The sequence below is a fragment of the Homo sapiens genome, chromosome 9, assembly GCF_000001405.40.
Source record: "Homo sapiens chromosome 9, GRCh38.p14 Primary Assembly".
NCBI lineage: Eukaryota > Metazoa > Chordata > Mammalia > Primates > Hominidae > Homo > Homo sapiens.
The window spans coordinates 25,535,084-25,556,044 of NC_000009.12; the positions used below are offsets into that span (position 1 = coordinate 25,535,084).

General features: G+C 35.0%; 1 long non-coding RNA gene across 1 annotated transcript in view; it reads right to left on the bottom strand.

Moving 5' to 3' along the window:
- Positions 1–6,789: 6,789 nt before the first annotated feature.
- Positions 6,790–20,961, bottom strand: part of LOC105375996 (uncharacterized) — a 28,178-nt gene continuing 14,006 nt past the window's right edge. The window contains exons 2-3 of the long non-coding RNA XR_929525.3: positions 15,409–15,489; positions 6,790–6,937 (exon numbers count right to left, since the gene is read on the bottom strand). This is a non-coding gene — a long non-coding RNA (uncharacterized LOC105375996). The remainder of the gene's footprint in view (positions 6,938–15,408; positions 15,490–20,961) is intronic.

Genomic DNA, 20,961 nt, shown 5'->3' on the forward strand with positions numbered 1-20,961 from the left:
AATAAAGGCCAGGTTTTTTAACTTTGATCACTACAACCTTGAAATAGATTCTTATTTATGACCTGATCTATTTTTTTGTGGACACTGGGCTAGAATGAAATTAGATCTGATTAGATCCTGGAAAAAAAGAAACTAAACAAAACACACACACACACACACACACACACACACACACACACGTTGTTTTAATGATGGTGGATATGCAAGAAAATAATAAAGAATTTTGACAGGACAGGGTTTTTTTTTTAATTCTTTGCAGCTCAAGTTACTGCTCTCTTACTTGGGCATAGATAGTAGAAATACCTTTTTAAATGAAAGCATTTAAATGAAGTATGTCCAATGTTGTTGCATAAAATCCCATTTGACTTGATTCTGCTTCTTTCTGATGAACCACATATTTATTTGCTGCATCAAGTTCCTTTAGAAAAAGTTATAAGTTTATCAAACACGTGGGCAAATATCAGATAATTGTTATATTCTGTATAATACATAGTTTTATAGTCTACATACGTGTAATAATTGCTGCCTATAATTGCAGAAGTTCTGGGTAAGGGGGAGAACAAGAAGAAATCAAACACTATGGCCACTGACCATGTTGGGCAATTAACTGAGATCTTTTCCTCTTGGATAAAAGGAGGGGCCTGGACCAGCTATTTTGTGGGTTCCTATCAGGTCTGACATTTCATATGACCTCATGTCTGCCGAAACAGTGGTTTTTGTGCAATTATCCAAGAGCTAAAATAAAAGGAGACTTCCAAACATAACTAGTGTTAAACTCCATCTCAGCTTTTCATTTCATGAATTAGAATATAGTATAGTTTCCTTACTTTATAAAGGCACTTTGGAAAATTTTATTTTCTGTAACAGTTCTTAAAACATTCCCTTCACATCTGAAGGGCTTAGTGAATATTTGTTGAACAAGTGAATGAATAAATGAAAGAATAATACGAATTCATTTTGTATTTTGAATTCATATTAGCCCCTAAACTACCTGTTTTTTTTAGCTCATCCCTTTATCACTATCATTACTAAATTTTCTAATTTTGTTTTTATCTAATAATACTGTTTTATTAGATTTCCCTTGAATCAGGGTAATTTAGATAAACAAAGTTTCAGTGAGTGTTATTACATTTTTACTATGGTTCTAGATGTCGTTGGAACGCAGAGATGGGACAAAGAACTCATTTGCCCTCCAGGGACTTACAGTCTAGCCGGGTGAATAGAAGTGAAAAACAAACAAACAAACAAACAAACAAAAACGCTTAACAAAAAGGGAGACCATAATAGAAATTAAATGGAGGAAGACTATGTGTACATTTGAAGGAACCAGAACACTTTTCAGAAAAAAACAAACAAACAAAAAACAACTTTAAAGACAAGTCTTAAGGAGTGGGTGGAGTTTTGACACAGACTAGTGGGAAAACAGTTCTGGGTTTTTCTACACTAACTTGATGCTGGATCCAATCTGGACTGAGTCTGGGATTTGTGATTCCTTTATAAGGTTAAAAATAATAACAGGTATCTCAGTGTTTTTTGTGATCTTTAAAAGGTTCAAAGCCATTGATGAGTTTCCTATTATTGAGTCCTCATATCCACCTTACATGTTAGGCAGAGTGGACATCATTATCCCTATTTGTTAGATGAGGAAACTGGGCTCACCAGTTCTCAAGGTTGCGGAGACAGCAGGTGATTAAACAGAGAAAACCACCTCTTACCTTGGAAAATCAATGCTGTTGATACTGTAATAATTTACATCATATCGGCAATGGGAAACTATCAGTCTGAGACCAAGGCTCCATCTTCCTGGGAGTGGTGTTATCCATATTATGTGTTTTAAGCAATGCTGTTTAACCAAGAACTTCTTAATTATCATCAAACCCCCTATGGTAACAGCACATGCTTATGACTAGAAACTCAATTATCTGAAAGAAAGGTGTATAAAAAGAGAGAATACTGAAATCTCAAATGAGCATTTGCCAGAAGAACATGGTGTGCATGGTGTATGTCACATAGCTATCTTGAAAAAACAAGCTTCGTGTTCTATAGGTAAGTCTCAATCATTTGAAAAAACATTAAAGGCAGGGTGATCATGAGAATAGTATAGGACATTGAGGGCAGGCAAATGTGAATTCAAACTCAGGAGCTCTGAAGCATTTTCCCCAGTAGAAAGCATCTTTTTTGTTGGCTCACTGCAATGATTTCTAGATTCCTAGGCTAAAACTCATATGCCTAAAAATATACTGAAAATTTAAGGAAAATAGAGGAAACAAAATAGAGGAAGCATATTTGAGAGAAAATCAAGATCAAGTGGCAGAGTTTAATGTCGGGATCATTTCTGCCAATTATCCTTGGTTTTAAGCAGCTATTGTAGATGCTAATTTTGTTTCAACTTTGGAGAGTAGTTAAGAGGAGGAAGGAATGAAAATTTCTCCTCTTATTTTTGGCCTATATAGTCTCATTGATCTGAACTGCACAAAGAATTAAAGAGCATTTGTGCAAAAATACTAGATGTTGAGAGAGCCCTTACCATGCTTTTGAAAATTGCGTACATTGCATTTGTAATAATCCAGATGTAAGGATTTCCAATGACCTTGATATTCCTGATACAAAATGGGATTCTAAGCATGTCCAAATACCTCCAGAAAAACTCTCAACCCTCACACCTCAATCATGAGTCCCTCATCTATCTTTCCTTATAGAAATTATATTTTGACTTCTTGAAGCCATTTTAAGCCTTTGTTCTTTTTCTGTCTGGGAAATAACAGACAGTGTGACCCCGGCTGTCATCTTGTTTTTCAACTGCTGGAGTGATTCTGCTCAATAAGTAGCAACCAATGGTGACTACTGTAATTTGAATTATAAAAGGGAGGGTGGAATGATGTGCAGACAAAGCTCAGATGTGGGTTTGTTGATATTTGTAGCAGGAGGTTAATTAGCATTAGCAGAAGTATCAGCAGTTGCTTGGACTTACTCATAAGGTACGGTTTGCTATTAACAGTATAGTACAGAGGAAAACAAGTCAAAATAGTTTTTGTTCCTCTTACAGAAAACCATTTACAAAAACAAACATAAAGTAATTGGATTCTTTTTTGTTTGCTTTCAGTTTCTCCTTTCCAGCTAAGTGTTTGATTTAGCTGCTTCTCTTGCTCCTTCCAAGTCTTACATGGTTTGAACAGCAATAGTTGTGCTTTCTTTTTCTCTTTTGCATTAGCTCCTTCCCTACTCCCTCTCCCATCCTTTGGTTCTTGTTGTTTTCCCTTGAGGCGAAAACTTTATGTTCGGATGATTTTTTTTTTATTTGTAATTACTGATGGGTGCATTTTTATGGGTGCTTTATAAGTTTGGGATTGTATGGATCCAAGGCACACAACCATTCCTCTGATTGCTCTTTTTCCATCTAAATTGTTTGAAGCCACTGCCTCCCTCTAATCTTTGCAATGAACAGAGTAACTATTGTAGCTAATGTTTAAGCTTTGATCAAAGCCCAGAGAAGGCTTATATTGGTTTGACTTTGTTCGTAGTTTCCTTCATTTGCTCTCTAATAAGCAAGAAAACATGGATTATTCTTTTAAAATGGCATTTTAAAAATCTGTATGCAAGAAAATTTAGTGTCACTTGAAAAACTATTCCAGATATTCTCAAAATAAATGTCCAGTGTTTAGTAACAATAGGGTTATTTAATAAATAGATGATCTTATAGTATTAATATATTTTTGAAGTTTTATAAAAAATTTACGTTCATAATCTATTGCAGATGTTAATTAATAATGAAAGATCAATAAATAATAGCCATAATGTAAATTAAAATATCTCCTGCTGTGCAAGACTACAGTTATTAGATTTTTAATGAGGATATTTTAAATAATTCCTTCATTCTTTCCTTTTGTGAAGGAAACCAAAAATGAGTGAAAAAAAATTAAGGAACTATGCTGTTTTTTAAAAAACTGTGACCACAAATCAAAGTGCTTAAAATTATTTTAGGAAAATTAACCTCACGGTGATAAAGGATATGGTGCTTGGTGTGCCACCATTGTTTTGTGTAGAAATGTGAAAGAAAGGAAACAGTAACGTCATTTCCACTTCGACTTGCCAAATCAAGACCATATATGTGTGTGTATGTGTATATACATTTAGCTGTAGCTTATTTATAAAAATACTAGCACACAAGACTCATAGGTATATGAATATTACTAGGTATTTTGGTTCCTTGAATAGACAAGTTGTAAATCCTTCAATAAATAATTTATCCGACTCTGTTGTACAGAGGAAGATGCAGCAGTCGACATAGGCTAAGTGATGAACCCAAGTTGAATTAGCAACTTGGGGACTGGGCTGGGGCTGACATCTAAATCCTTGACCCTTTATTTAGCAGCCTTTTCTTAAATCTACAATGCCATATAGGCATTATCTTGGAAATCAGGATAAAGACATCTTTGGTTTTAATTTTATTTATCTTCCATCTTATCTCTGTTAAAATTCATAGGATATGTAGCCTATAATTTATGGGCTGAAGAATTGGAAATGTGTTAAAAGTGAAGCGATTTTAGGATTCTGTTCAAGTTTATGTATGCTCAAATTTTATTTCACATTTCAAAAGAATATTTATATCTTGAATTCCCATGATTGATGAAAGAAAGTAAAGGAAGGAGAAGCTTTATTTATAACTCTCCTCTGTTGTAGTGAGAGGATGGCTGCTGCAATGTCTTCAGATGCTGATAGCTAACGATCAAACTATTTAAGCAACATGAAGATTAGCTGTAGATATATGGATAAGAACTATAAATCCACATTTCCCCTGTGTGGTCAGTGGAGAGCAGGCAATTTTTTTGTTTTTCATTAATGGTCTGAGTGCCTTATTGTGTCTAAGTAATAAAAATACATAAATAAAAATTTTAATTGCCACAGTAGACTTTGGTGAAGGACTAACTTAAAATAGGTTTTAGGCTGCTTGATACTTGAACATTGAGCTACCACATGAAATAAAAGGAAATTCTAGGCCTGAGAGGCAATTAAAGTCCGAGAGAGAGAGAGAGAGAGAGAGAGAGAGAGAGAGAGAGTTAGGGAGAATATTCTTATATCATGAGAAAATATATGAAGACCAAGCAAGATAGAGGAAGGAATCAAAGACAAAGTAATAAATGCAAGAGCTTAGAAATGGATTGATACAAATAAGGAATCAGGCTTTAAAGGGTATGGTGATTTTGAGTAATAATAAAAAATAGTTAATATTTTTGAGCACTTACATTATGCTAGTATTATAAGGTTTTTACCTAAACTATCTTAGTTAATTCTTATAACACTTTGTATGTGTGTTGAACAATATGTATAATTATTTTCTAGAGGAGGAAAATTAAGTAATAGCAAAATATTTTCCCCAAGGACACTCAACTAGAAAATAGTTGGAAGACTCTGTATTTGAACTCAGGAATGTCTAAATCAAGAATTGGAAGCTCTGAGCCATTCTATTATACTGTCTCCAGTGATCAATTGTCTCTAATCCTTGCTGGTATCCAAGACCAGTGGGTGTATGATTCGTAGGTAATTTGAGCTGGCATAATGGACCAAGGGCCTGGCAACAAACAAACAGAGCAAGAAATAAATTATAATTCTTCTGTAGCTGTACCATTTTAACATATTTGTTATGCAGGAAACCTTAAATTATTTTAAAAGACAAGCATCTTCTTCAAATTATCTGGAATGTCTAGCAAGTTGATGCTAGGAAATATGCTATTTTTCCATTCTTTTTAGTATATTCTTTCTCATCATAATGCCATCCTCAAAATACTTAGCACATGGTAAATGAGGGAAAAATCTATATGAAAAAAATGTGGCAAGAATATTGAGGAAGTGATTAAGAACAGATGGATGTTTTGCAAGCACAAAAGAATTCTAAAATAAATGAGAGTTCACAAGAGGTTTGTAGGAATCAGTTAACGTCCTATGCAAATATTGAGATACGTGTGCAAAAGTCACATCCAGGTCTCGCTTCGTTTATGAGCCACAAGCAATAATAATACAGAATAAGTCTTTTTGCAGAATGGCCAAACTTAACTATTTCTTTATAATCTTCATGTTACAATATTTTTTAGATGCAATTCACCCGATTTCCCATCCCAACCTTATCATTTCCCACTCTTATCAACTTCTGGCTAATAAGGCTCACAAGCCAACAGGGAAAGTATGCCTTTACAGCTATACTAGATAAGCAAGCACTTTACAAATGCCAAGACACAAGATTTATAGTAACGTGTAATCTTAGACGTGGTGTCACCACAGACCCTTCGACTCCCTCCTGCTTCCTATTTATCTCTAATCAAAACCACTTGGGCTCACAGTGTAGCATCCATCAGATGTAAGTGACAAAACTGGGAGAGAATAGTGAACCTCACTGAGACTAGAAGATCTCAGGTGTGTTTAGTATAGGAAAGCAGGCAGTGCATGAGTGACTACAATCCCTGAGCAACACAACTAGAAAGGACATATGGATACAGGTTCAAATTTTTAAAATATATTTACCCTATCCACTAGCAAAATGTGACCAAGTGAATACAAATACACCTACAGTATTTTCTCCAAAACTGCCCTCAGTGAGAAAAGGGATCTTGCACTAATGGCATCTCCTTTCAATGAGTAGAGGCAGGAACATGGAGAAAGCTAGAGAAGGGCTCTCCCTTTCGAAAGAACCAATAGCAAAAAGACTAGTTCTCAATTCTATTTGCTCCAGGATGTGGAGTAAAAATAATTTATTGATAGTTTCTCAGAAGGACAAGAACATTTAGATTTGGAAGGTAGCATCTAGGATACCAATAAAAATATCTAACTATTAAACAGTTACCTGGTGTTAGGTATTACATTGTGACCTCCACATATGGCATTTTATTTAGTCTTCACAGCAATGTCTGAGAACAAATTATACATATGTAACAGATATAAAAACCTAAAAAAAAGATATTAAAGAGTTTACTCAAGGGTGAAAACAGTCAGAATGCAGAATTCAACCATATTATTTTATGAATTTTTACTGACAAAATATAAAAATTTACTATATGAAGTTAGTATGATATTTGATATTATCTGTCAGGAAAAAAAGCAGCATTTAGGATACATAAGCAAGTATAACTGATTTCAAAATATTGTCCCTTCTGCCATGCAATCTTTGCAGGAGTTGCTAATTCAGAGGTAATGAGCTCTTTTCTCTCATACATTGCAAGGAATTTACCTTTGCCTGCACATGAGCAGATGATAATCATCTGTGGAACAAGATGCAGCATAGGGAAGAAGCTGGTGAGGGCAAGACTACTAAGATTTTACAATATGTTATAAACAGGCTCTCTATGTAGGGGCCGGTATGTCACTGGTCTTTTCCTCGCTGATAAAAATCAGTGCGTTAGCCAGGCGCAGTGGCTCACAGCTGTATTCTCAGCACTTTGTGAGGCCAAGGTGGGAAGGTTGCTTGAGTCCAGGAGTTCCAGACCAGCTTAGGCAACATGACGAAACCCCATCTCTACAAAAGTGCAAAAATTAGCCAGGCGTCATGGCATGCGCCTGTCCCAGCTAATCAGGAGGCTGAGGCACAGAAGGATCGCTTGAGCCTTGGAAGTGGAAGTTACAATGAGCTGAGATCACACCACTGCACTGCAGCTTGGGTGGCAAGCCAGACTGTCAAAAAATAAAAATAAAAATAAAAAACAGAAAGAGAAAAAGAAATCAGAGTGCTCATACTTTGAAGTATTCATTTTGCAGGTGGGGAAAAGAGATGTTAATGCACTAAGTAAGAAGTTAATAGGTAATATTTTTCCTTTCTGTCTTTCTGAGAAGGCTTGCATAAATAAAAATACACTCAGCAGCCATTTTCTTTTGCCCCCTATAATTAAATCTCAGAATACTATTACCTTCAAATATTTAGCCTTGGTTTCATTAATTTCATTAATTTCTTTTGGTAGGCATATTGCTTTACCACATGATGTTTGATTGCAAATTGTTTTGAATCCAGAATTTGCTTTGTAGTTCTCCTACCAGGAATTTCTTCAGCATAAGTTTTAACAAAACCTATTTTCTAAAATTTTATTTCAAAGAGAAATATAAGTAAAAAGATATCTGGATTCTGAGTACTCAGTTTTGAAATAAAGACAATAGACTTATTCAGCCAACAATGGTTGGACTTTATATTAGGTTGGTGCAAAAGTAATTGTGTTTTTGCCAGTGCACTTTTTTATTTTTATTATTTTTTATTTTATTTTGTTTTATTTTATTTTATTTTATTTTATTTTATTTTATTTTATTTTATTTTATTTTATTTTATGTTATTTTATTTTATTTTTAGAGGCAGAGTCTCACTCTGTTGTCCAGGCTGGACGGCAGTGGCCCGATCTTGGCTCACTGCAAGCTCCGCCTCCCGGGTTCACACCATTCTCCTGCCTCAGCCTCCCGAGTAGCTGGGACTACAGGCGCCCGGCTAATTTTTTTTTTTTTTTTTTTTTTTTTTTTTAATAGAGATGGGGTTTCACCTTGTTAGCCAGGATGGTCTCGACCTCCTGACCTCGTGATCCGCCTGCCTCGGCCTCCCAAAGTGCTGGGATTACAGGCATGAGCCACCTCTCCCAGTCTTGCCAATACATTTAATGGCAAAAACCACAATTACTTTTGCACCAACTTAATATATTCTCCAGTGTCTTAGGAACTGTGAAATGTACCAAGAAAGTTGTGGCTTATCTCCTTCCTAGAGGGACCATCCGATACTCCTTTACTCCGCTGTTTGCCCGTGTTGCAGTGGTTTTGAGGGCTTGATGAATAACTATTCATCCAATCAGCGAGTATATAGTATTTTCTCTTATGTACTTGGTATGGGCTAGGACCAAGATATTCGATCTTGAATTGGACATGGTAGTAGAGAGGAGCAGATAAATAGCTGACTTTCGAAGTCACAAAATGAAAGTGATTCCCTGAACAGCTGTGACCTGAATTTGAATCTTTGGTCTACTATGTGTAAGCTGTATGACCTTGAAAATAATGTGATTTCTGTAAATCCCAGACCCGAATTAGTAGCATGAGATCACAAATTTCTTCTTCACTGGCTTGTTATGAGGATTAAATGACCATGTATATAAAACACTACAACCTAGAAATTGTTTAATAAATAGTAGTTGTTTCCTCATCCTTTTTTCAGCCACACATAAAGGTAGACCTAAAAAAAAAAAAGCAAATTCAGGAAGGATATGTTGATTATGGAGGTAGAAGGTGAATAAGACCTTTGGGGAAATGAGCCCTGTGTTGCAATAATCTCACTTATGAGACTAAGAGAAGTTCTCTTAGACAGATCTGGTATTTTCTCTTTCTCTCTCTCAACTCTTTAATCTTTGTTAAGCCATACCCACCAGGGTACATAAAACCAGAAAATATTCCATTAAGCCCCTGATGGTTTCAGCCTATTTTTCACCAGAGCACAATCTAATAAATCTTTTCTTGGGATCCTTTACTCTTTCATTGAACTGATAGACTTTGGTTTTGAAGATAGATTAATAATTCCACTTATTATGCTATAACTATGTTCCAAAGAATTTATCCTTGGTCTTCAAAGAAACACTCTGAAATAGGTCCTATAATTATATTTATTTTATACAAGTGGAAAGGGAGAATAATAGAGAAGAAATAATTTGTTCAAAGTCACATGTCTACTATGGAGAAATGAACCAAGGTTTGTATGGCTGCAGTAGCTGCTGTTTTGAAATTGAAAATAACAATAATAGTTATTCAACATTCTAGTTATTCAGCATTCTAAGCAAATTCACCAAGAAATAAAGGACAGGGGCCCTTGCTTCTTCACTTCAAAAGCTCTTGAAATGATGTCGTGTAGCTGTTACTCTCTGAAATTGGCTTATCCTCTGGGAATAATTATGCAATAATCACTTATAAATGGCTGCAGGGAAATGCTGAAGCTGGACTGTGTAAGTCTTGCACTGCTAAAGAAAATAATTGCAAATATTACCATGGTTAAGACAGCTGTTTATTTCTGTCGAATGCATGAGAATATATGGAACAAATAAAGACTAATTTATCTGTGTAAAAACATATATACACATTTGATTCAAAATTGATATCCGGGGAAAAGTTTTATCTTTTTTTTTTTTGCCCTGATGGAAAGATAATGCTGCCTAAAAATAATACACTATGTAAATGTCATCAGATTCAATCATATCTTTACCATGTTCAGCAGTTTTTAATGCCGGAATGGGTATTGTAGATATAACAAAAAGTAAACTCAGTTTTTCATACTATACTCTCACAACAAAAACACTTCTGTGACCAAATGTATGTGGGGGGAGTAAGCAAGCAATTCTGCAGATGATTCTGCAGGAGATCCTGTAGTGAATACCAGCTAGACGTTCTCTATTTCAATTCAGTTTTGACATTATCCACCTGAAGACAGTATCACATCCCACAGACTGAGGGCTCAGTCCCACAGGACTGCTCTGCACTTCCAATGGCAATCACAGGTCCCAGGTTGTTTTACCTGTGTTTCTGACCAACTGGCTATAAATTTGCGTTCCCATGACCCCCTTCCTGTGTTGCATTAATTAGCTAAAGAGGCTCAAAAAACTCAGGGGAACACGTACTTACATTTACCAGTTCAGTATAAAGGATATTACAAAGGATAAAGATGAACAGCCAGATGGAAGAGACACATAAGGCAAAGCGTGGGAGAAGGGAGCACCAAGATTCCATACCCTCTCAGCACACACCACCCTCCAGGAACCTCCACTTGTTTAGCTATCTGGAAGCTACTGACCCCAATTCTTTTGGGTTTTCATGGAAGTCTTATTATGTAGTCATGATTGATTAAGTCATTGGCCATTGGTGACCACCTTAACTTTTAGCCCTTACCTTCCTCCAGAGGTAGGAGGGGAGGGGTTAAAAATCCCAACCCTCTAACAAAGCCTTGGTCTTTCTGGTAACCAGCCTCCATCCTGAAGCTACCTAGGGGCTGCTAGTCACTAGTCATCTCATTAACATATAACAGATACTCTCCATTCTACTTACTCCAAGGATTTTAGGAGCTATATGTCAGGAAATTGGGATAAAGACCAAATATGTATTTCACAATATCACAGTTATATTTTAACAAACACCATTAGTGAGTAGTATTTTTAGTGAAAATGAATGCATTATTTCCATATTATTGAAAGGAGTATTTGTTCTTCCTCTTTACTAAAACTAAGCTACAGTTTCAATGAGAAAAAATAAAGTAATGGTATCAATCATGAAATTGAGTAGATAAGATTAATGCATTCTTGTATCCTGAGTATAAACAAAACAAATAGTTCCACCATGGCTCAGTTCCTCAGTTTGCTAAATTTTATCACATCTTCTAACTTCAGACTATGTTCTTCTTTCACATGGACTACCTGCCTTCATCCCCAAATTTTTATTGAAACTAACTTTCATTGTGCATTGTATTTTTTTTTTTTTTTTTTTTTGAGACAGAGTTTTGCTCTGTTTCCCAGGCTGGAGTCCAGTGGCATGATCTCGGCTCACTGCAACCTCTGTCTCTCACATTCAAGCAATTCTCCTCCCTCGGCCTCCTGAGTAGTTGGGACTACAGGCACATGCCACCACGCCTGGCTACTTTTTTTGTATTTTAGTAGAGATGAGATTTCACCATGTTGCCCAGGATGGTCATGAACTCCTGAGCTCAGGCAATTTGCACGCCTCGGTCTCCCAAAGTGCTGGAATTACAGGCATGAGACACCGTGCCCAGCCTGTGCATGGTATTTATCACTATTTGCAGTTCTACATTTCTGTTGGATAACTTATTTACCTATTATGTTGACACCTTAAACTACAATCTCTATCAATTTGCTTATTTATCTATCCCAGATTCCAAAAAGTTATAGATACGTAGTAAGTTTTTGAAATAAAAAATTTATTATATTCCACTCCTTTGCACATCACTCATTCTCATCCCATTCCTTTTTCAGTGCTGGTCTTGAACATTTTTCCTATTCCTACATGAATTAATATATCTAAACCTTGTTTCATACTGAATCTAGTGCACAGAGTATTACTGGTTGTTATCTTAATGTGTCCCCCAAATTTCATGTGTTGGAAACTTCATCACCCAATTCATGTGTTGATAGTATTTGGAGGTGGGGTCTTTAAGAGGTAATTAGGATTATATAAAGTAATCAGAATGGGATTTCCATCATGGGACTGGTGGCTTTATAAGAAGAGAAAGACCTGAGCTGATGTACTCTAGCACTCTGGCCATGTGATGGCATCTGACATGTTATGACACAGCAAAAAGGCCCTAACAAGATGAGGCTCCTGACCTTGGACTTTCCTGCCTCTAGAACTGTAAGAAATAAATTTATGTTAAGTATAAATTGCCCAGTCTCAGGTATTCTGTTATAGCAACAGAAAACAGACTAAGACAGTGGTGGCTTTAATAATTAATTATTTTGTCTCCTTCATTTATTTGCCGATTATTCAAATTGTATATGTGTCACATATGCACAAATATGATTTTTCTGTACCAAGTCCATCATTTAGTCAAATAACTTGGCCTTAATAGTATTCTGGTAGTGTTCAATTTAAATGACTAGTCAACAAATAAAAATAATTACTTTGTTTCTTTTACCTTTTCTTCTCTGTTACCTTAAGTACTTACATTTGATATTTCATCACCGAATTATATATTTAGGGAGTTATTTTCAGTTCTACCCACAGTATAAAATTTGGTTTTTATTTTTGTTAATGCTGTTTTTCCCATAAAAGATCAGAGTATTTTAAATAGGGCATTGTGTTCAGGAAACCTGTCATAGATATTATATAAATGTTCTTTAGCTATTGACTTTTAAATGTAACATCAACTGATTAATGTACAAAAGGGATGTGCATCATGGGGATACAAACACTGACCTAACTGCAATAACTAAATTTCAAAATGTGGTTTAAAAAAACCCAGCAAACCCTACATTAAGAATCAGGATTCTAGTCTTGGTTTTTCTACTTGGTGACAAAGTTTTGGATCATTGGTAATATGACTAGGTTGACGTAGTTTTCAAATACGTCTAAACAGTTGTATCCATTTTCCAAAGAAATCCTTCAATAGAACCCATTAGATTAAACAGGTAAAGTGAATGCGATCTGGCTGAAACTTGAAAGGAAATGTGAGGGCCTCCAAAGAAGCATGTAAATCTCCCCTTGTCTCAGTTCCCAGGCTTTCCACTTAAAGCTACCCGCAAGGCAACTTCATGGAACAGCTTAAAACCAGTGAAACTAGATGATCTTTAAAATTTCTTCTAGCTTTAACATTTTATATCAAGCTGCAATAACTACATGTATCACAAAGCTTGAGTGTTTTGTTATTTTTATTGTTGTTACTTGTTTTGCTTTTAAAGTGCGTTAGAATTCATTAGGAGAAGAAAAGCTATCCCTTTTTCTATGGGCAATTATATGATGAGAAGAATCATGTCAATTTATTGCCTAGAGTCCACGGGGACATTTTGACTGGAGATAGAATCCCTTACCTGTGAATTCCACTAGAATAAAATGGCCTAAAAATCCAACTCCATATTTTGTGTATGTAAATATTTGAGAGGTACATTGAAAAGCAGAATTAGTTCTGATTATTTCTTTTTCTGGTGGGGAGCAGAAAGCGTAAAGGTGAATGTTCATTCCTATAAATTAGGGGCGACTGGTATAAACTTTAAGATCCCTGTTAAATGCAGAAAACATTCAATCTCTAGACCATCTGTAGCAAATTTACAGCAAACACTTCTGCATCCCTGGAAACAGTTTTATGCCACAAACCAGGAATTTCTCCAAAGTTACAATTACGTGATGCAAAACAGGTAATTTTCACCCCAATCTCGTGTTTTCATTCCAGGTCTTAGTTAATGCTGTCTTGATGGTTGCTGTTTGATGAATCAGCTTTCCTGTTAACTAGAGGTGCAGGGCCATCATCTAATGAAAACACTCTGTATTTTATTACTCCCTGGGCTGCAGTTCTGCATATTAAAATAGAATTTCAATCTCACTGTTAGAAACAAAATCAAACGTAGCATCTGTGGTTTGAACAGAACTGAGAAAAATGCTGCTCATTTAATCTTAACAATATTTTTCATGCTAGACAGTATAAAAAAAGAGGCCCTGGATATAATTTTAAAATGCCTATAAATTAGAAATAAATTGGTAGAAATCAGCACAATAGTTCAGAGCACGGGTTAGCTCATTTTACCTACAAATTTGCTGAAAGTTTTCTGTTCTAGTTATAAGTTCATGAAAATATTCACAAATTAAGGTTTCCTGTGTTCCTCAAATATCACTGTTAGCAGATCACTTTCATTCTACTTACTGCAAGAATTGAGCCACTCTGATTACTTTCTGAACGTTTCTGTTTTATTCAGGAATCATTGCACATTCACATTCAAGAAGAAGAAATAATTTCATAGCTAAAAGTTCAAGTCAAGGCAACATACTAATAAAAGAGTTGAAACTTCACCATCAGGTAGTTTTCACCAATCATGTACACACAAAAGTACAACAAGATCACAGGGAGACAAAGTAGCAAATTTCCCATTCATCAGTTAACAAACAACATGGCCTTATGGAGTGTGTTCAGTGTTTGCCCATCCAGCTCTTTCACCCCTGTCCTTTACTATCTCTCTCTCATTCTTTCTCTCTCTTACATACACACACTCATATACACACACAAGGCATATTAATTATGCAAGAGTTTTTAAAGCTTCTGTGTAAGTAAAATTTTTAAGAGAGTATAATACAATAAATATAAATGCAAACCACCTATTTATACAACACATACTATATCTCAAGAATTATGCTAATCCTGTGCCCAGTCTTTATCTTGTTCAGTGTTCTCAACAATCCACAAAGTAGGAGCTATTAATAGCCTCCTTTTATCAAATGTAACTAAAATTCAAAGTACTTAAGTCATTTCTCCAGGTCATAAAACTGATATGTTTTGAAATGAGGATTTAAACTATTGGTTTTGCAATTACAAATCCCATGCTCGTAACTTTTAAATCATATTGCTTTATACAGCTAATTGTGTGGCTATATATGGGGGTTTGGTACAACTGGCATTTATATCTCTATAGAACATGGTCTTATGAGAGAAAAATACTTTGAACTTGGGAAAGAACTGGGGCTGTGTTCCATGCTTGTTCTCATTTTATTTCTACTGCCACACCTCCTGCTGTTTACCTAATTCTTTTCTTCATCTTCTTACTCTTTCTTTGCCTCATATTTTCATCCTCAAAAGAACTCTCAACATGCACCATACAGAATCATCTTCATTCTAGTTAGCTTTTACGGAGTTAGTTAAAGCACTTTACACCTATTACCATATTTAATCCTCATCTATGCAATATGAACTATTATTATCATTACCATTTTATAGATGAGGAAGTTAAATCTTTGACCAGGTAACTGTTGCTCCTCTTCAAAACCCACACACATAAGATTATTACACTGTTTAAAACAGACAGAATTGGGGAGAAAAAGATAAAATGTTGGTATCAAGAAGAAAAAAAAACTGTAAGAAGTTTTATGGTATTTCAGCTAAACTCATCTTCCCTCAAATTAAATAGCACAACTGAGAGCCTTCTAGCCTCTTCAGCGTCAAACACATGTTTGCCAGAGCATCTATTGTTCGGTTCTGGAGTTTCTGCAGGAATTTTACATAGTTTATTGTATTAAATTTAGCTCTCAAAGAACTTATAATTTAACCAGACAATTTTAGACATAATATTCTAACATGAAGTGCCACCCCCAACTACTTGCTACCAGGTTCCTTTGACTATAACCTCTCTTTCAGAATTTCTCTTGCTTTTTACTCTTAAAATACTACCAGAACATGACCCCAGGGTCTATGCATTACCTCAGGGTTTTTTCAGTCTCAGGTTTGGACTTTAATTTTCCTTGGCTACTGTATTTCCTGCCAAAGACATGAAACGGGCTAATGTACTGAAAGTTGCAGAATTTTATTATATGGAAGAAAAACACACTTTGGGAAAAATTACTCTATTGTTAATGTGAGTGATCTTGAAAGCCAAACACCACCTCAGTTCTTTACATTAAATTTTGACAAAAGAATACACACCATACGCTAAGTAGTAAGGTGAATTCACAGATTGAAAGCCCTTAAAAGATTCACTTTTTCAATTTAAGTTAGGTGAAACAGTTATTTCCCCCTCTTTAGAGAAGAATTAGTAGCCATAAAAACTAGTAAGTGATTTCTACAAGGTTACAGGACAACGTTAGCAGGTCGAAAGGCTGAAACTTTGGGCACCTTTTTCTTTTATTTGACAAATGGGGCGGGGAGGGGGGTCAGTAGCATTTAATATGTGTCTTCAGTAAAATTCTTGCGTGTGGGAAGTATTAGCTATCTGTTTTACAGATGGAAAAGCACAGGCTCAGAAAGGTTTGTTTATTTATCAGTAGTCAAACCTATTTGAAAATGGCCTATCCATTTTCAAAACTCAAGATCTTTGTATAAATAGTCATTCACCATATAAAGACATTTTAATCAACAATGGACCACATATATAACAGAGGTCCCACAAGATTATAGTACTGAATGCTGGGGACAGGTTTTTAGCCTAAGGGCACTAGGATACACCAAATAGCCTACGTAGATAGAAGGCTGTACCATCTACATTTGCGTAAGTACACTCTATGATGTTTGCACAAAATGAAATTGCCTGAGGAAACGTTTCTCCAAATGTATACCTGTCATTAAGTGACACATGACTATACCACAGCAGCCTTCTTAAATGTGCCAGTAATTAATAATGTGTCAACAGTTCGCATCTCTACATATAATAAAGAAAATAATAAAAGTTGTTCTAACACATTATGAGAAAAGAAAACATAACTAATCATTTAAGTAACTTTCTTATCTTTATCAATATTCCACATAAACTTGATTCACCTTGTTAAACATAGCCAATCCAGTAATTTCCTGGAACACTTAGACAAAGATGTACATAGTAATTTAAACTCTTACATGACTCCATCTTGTTATGGGTTGATAGAAATAAGACATGATTTCTAATCACTATATGCTTAAGGTTTAGTTGAGAAGGGTGAAAAAACGTAGAACACTTACAGACCTATCCCCATCTAATGTTAAATTGTGTGGCTTTTAAGTGCGGAAGAAAGATACATTGGGTTGTGTTTCTGCGACCCAAGTTTCACTGTGGGGGTTGCAGGGTTTGACTTAAGCTGTGTATTAAAGCAATTATAAGGTTTCTATTTGTGAGTGTGGGAATAAGTTTACATTTTAGATAACATGATGACCTTAAGATAATGAAAGTGTTATTAATTCCTCAATTCCTAATATTCAGCCCTGAAATCCACAAAGTTCTGAAAAATGAAAGTTTTTGTAACACACTTATTGATAAAATAGGACCTGAACTGATGTAAAGATTTTAATAGTCTATATGTATCACAATTAGTGTGAGTCTTTACCTATTTAGCTGAAAAATATTAATATGTTTATTTAAGGATGCTGCCTTGGATCTAACTAGGATTGCTACATAGTTTACAGATATGCCTCCATTAGTATCTTTCCAAGATCTAAAGATTTCTGAAATCTTTTCTACATCTGATCCCTAAACAGCCATGTTTAGACACATAGAGCCCAGCATCATTGGGTTAAATTTATTCTTCCACTTTGGTGTGCCATACTTATAATATGGATTACCCAAGCATTCTGAGTAAACGATTATGATACTTTATTTGTGTTGAGGATTGAGAAGAAGAACTAAGATGTTGAGGAGACCAGAGTGTATGGTGCAAAATGAAGCTGATTACATAGCCCCTTAAAAATTGGTTAATAATAGAAATTAATGCGGGAGGCATTGAGTAGGTGTTATTAACAGTGATATTTATAGGGAAGGGTTGCCTGTCAATGCATTTGATATAGATTGGATGGAGGAAAGAAAGAGAAATGTAAAACAACAACACAAAATATCAAAAAAATACTGTAATACTTCTCAACTTTGCAACTGTAAGGTCATGAGCAAGCTAAACCTTCTGACTGCATTTCCTTTCACATAAAACAAATAATAGCATGTAAATTATTAGGGTGTTATGAACATTAAATGTTTTAATGCACGTAAGCCACCTAAAAAGTTTCTGGTATATATGAAGGGCCCAACTAACATATGTAATTGTCATTCTCATTATTAGCAGAGAAAGACTCTGTCAAAAATGTGGCAGGACAAGGAATTCAAGACATAGTTTAAAGAAAATTATAAGACTAACGAATGTGGATAAGAATAGAAGCAAATGTCAAAATTGACCCTAAAGTTTCTTCTCCCAGGAAATGGGGAAAAATGGCCTTACTATACAAGAAAGAAATATAAACACTGTTATGGCTTTATTTGTTCGCCTCAAGGTCCGAGGGTAGATGCTCTGATTTTTGGAAAAGACAGATAAAAATATCATGAAAATTATTGTCACCTAAATCAAATGCAGGAAAGATAATATATCAATAGAATCATGCAAATCTCTAGTAGATGTAGGATTCATAACTGATAAACCACTAGGATATCAAATGGGCAAACAGATGAAAAGTTTGTCACTTTTTTTGTTTTTTTCCCCATAAAATGTTAAAATAACTAAATGACAAAAATTCATCTCATTTCCGTGATTCAAATATGGTCAACTTGCCTTGTATATTACTAACTAGCCCATGGGAATGTCAAAATACCACTTGAACCAGCACAGAATCAAGCTACTGGTAGAGTAGGAAACACACCATGGACAGGGAATTGTCCTAGTGGAGGGTTGAAGGCATACCTTATAGGCATATCTCTGTCTAACTGTAGAATCCCTTCTCTTCAAAACAGCCATGCTTAGACACATAGAGCCCAGCATCATTGAGTTAAATTTATTATTCCACTTTGGTGTGCTATACTTATAATATGGATTACCCTAGCAAAGAATATGATCAAACTTTCTCTGGAATATTCCTAATAAATAAAAAAATGTATTGAGCAAAAATGATAATGTAGGGAGAGAGAGTTTGCTTTATCTAGGGATATACCAGAGGAATATTTTAACAAATAAAAATTTCCATTATAAACTAAAAATTAAGCTCTTCACTGCACATACAAAAATAAAAGGTATAATTCCTGTGTTCTTGGGTGTTAAAATGCCTGAAACCAGATTCCAACTGAGCATCCTGAGTCACCAGTCTGGAATAGATTCCTGTCCTGCACATAGAATATGGCTCACTTAATGCCAGACTTTCGCTGTTACTGGTGTGTTGAAGTGCTTAAGCTGTAACATGCGTCAAATTTAATTCAAATGTTTACTGCCGTTTGCTAAGTTTCTGATCCTGGACAACTTAATTTTCTGCCTGTTCATTGTTTTCACTGACAAAATTCAGATAATAATATATTTCCTATAGCACCATTGTTCTTACTGAACATATATAAAGAGTTCAGCAAAGATAGAGAAGATACTCAACAAATATGAGTTCTCTTTCTAATGCTAATGTCTCGCCCTGGTTTTCTGTGTCCCTTCAATTCCTGTGGCTTCCTGGTTCCAGATGTATCTCAGTCTTTTGACAACCCTACTGGCTTTATCCCTTGGTGATAAAAAGAGCAAGATCTTATTAACTGGTTCATTACAGGTTTTTCTGCACTAACGTATGTTACATAAAGCAACAGAGATTAACATGTGTCTAAAATATAACAATGGCAAAAACGTTTTAATTGCTTACTATGCGTTCAGGCCCTATACTAAGAGCTTTTACATGTATTTTCTCATTTTATCTTTATAATTGTTTTAAGAGGTAGATTCTATTTCTTTTTCCAGTTTTTAAATACAGAAAAAATAAGACTCAAAGAGCTTAATAACTCCCCTTCTATTGCAGGCCTACTAAGCAATAGTGCCTGATTCTAAAACAGACACTCCTGGCTGTAAAAACCTTACTTTGCCTGAGACATGGTAAAACTATGACAACTTCCAAAGTGCTTACATGCCTCAGAAATTTTATCACAAATTTTAAAATGAATTGTATTAGTTTTCTATTATTGTTTTCACAATTGGCCACAAATGTGGTGGATTAAAACAACACAAATTTAATCTCTTACAGTTTTGAATGTCAGAAGTCCAACATCATTTCTGCTGAGCTTAAGTCAAGGTGTCAGCAGGTCTAGTTCCTTCTCAAGGCGCTGAGGGGGAAATCTGTTTCGTTGCTTTTTTCAGCTTCTAGTGACTGCCCGTATTCTTTGGCTTATAATCAGTTTTCAAAAAGTATCTCACTGTATTCTCTAATTTGGTATCACATTGCCTTCTTCTCTGACTCTGACACCCCCTACCTCCCTCTTATAAGGACCACTGTGAAGATACTGGGCCCACCTGGATAGTACAGGTTAATCTTCCCATCCCCAAATCATACTTGAACAGCATCTACAAAGTTCCTTTTCTAATATAAAATAATATTTACAGATTCCAAGGACTAGAGCATGAATATATTTGTAGGGTCATTATTTAATCTGCCATGTGTATTTTACTTGTATTCACATTAACTCTAAAAGTACATGAATAGAAAAGTTACCTTGGAAAGTTTTAATGAAATTAAATACAGTCTTCTAAATCACTGTTACAGTTTTGGAATTATAATAGAAATATTGTTATTTAGTCTTATCTACTAAATGAAAAAATATCTTCCAAAATACTGAAAAACATAAATTACTAAATTAATGTCAGTATTAATAAACCAGAATTGTTTAAAGCAGCATAGCATCTCTATGTACATAAAACAACAGATTTTTCTCCAGTAAACACTTGTTAATGGAACAGATGTATTAAACGAATACATTTTTATGTAACAAGGATATCTATTACTTAAGCTGCTTCTGTACTCACTTTCTTCTGTTTCTATTCAAATACAATGCATTATATTCATATTCAGTCGTATTAGCC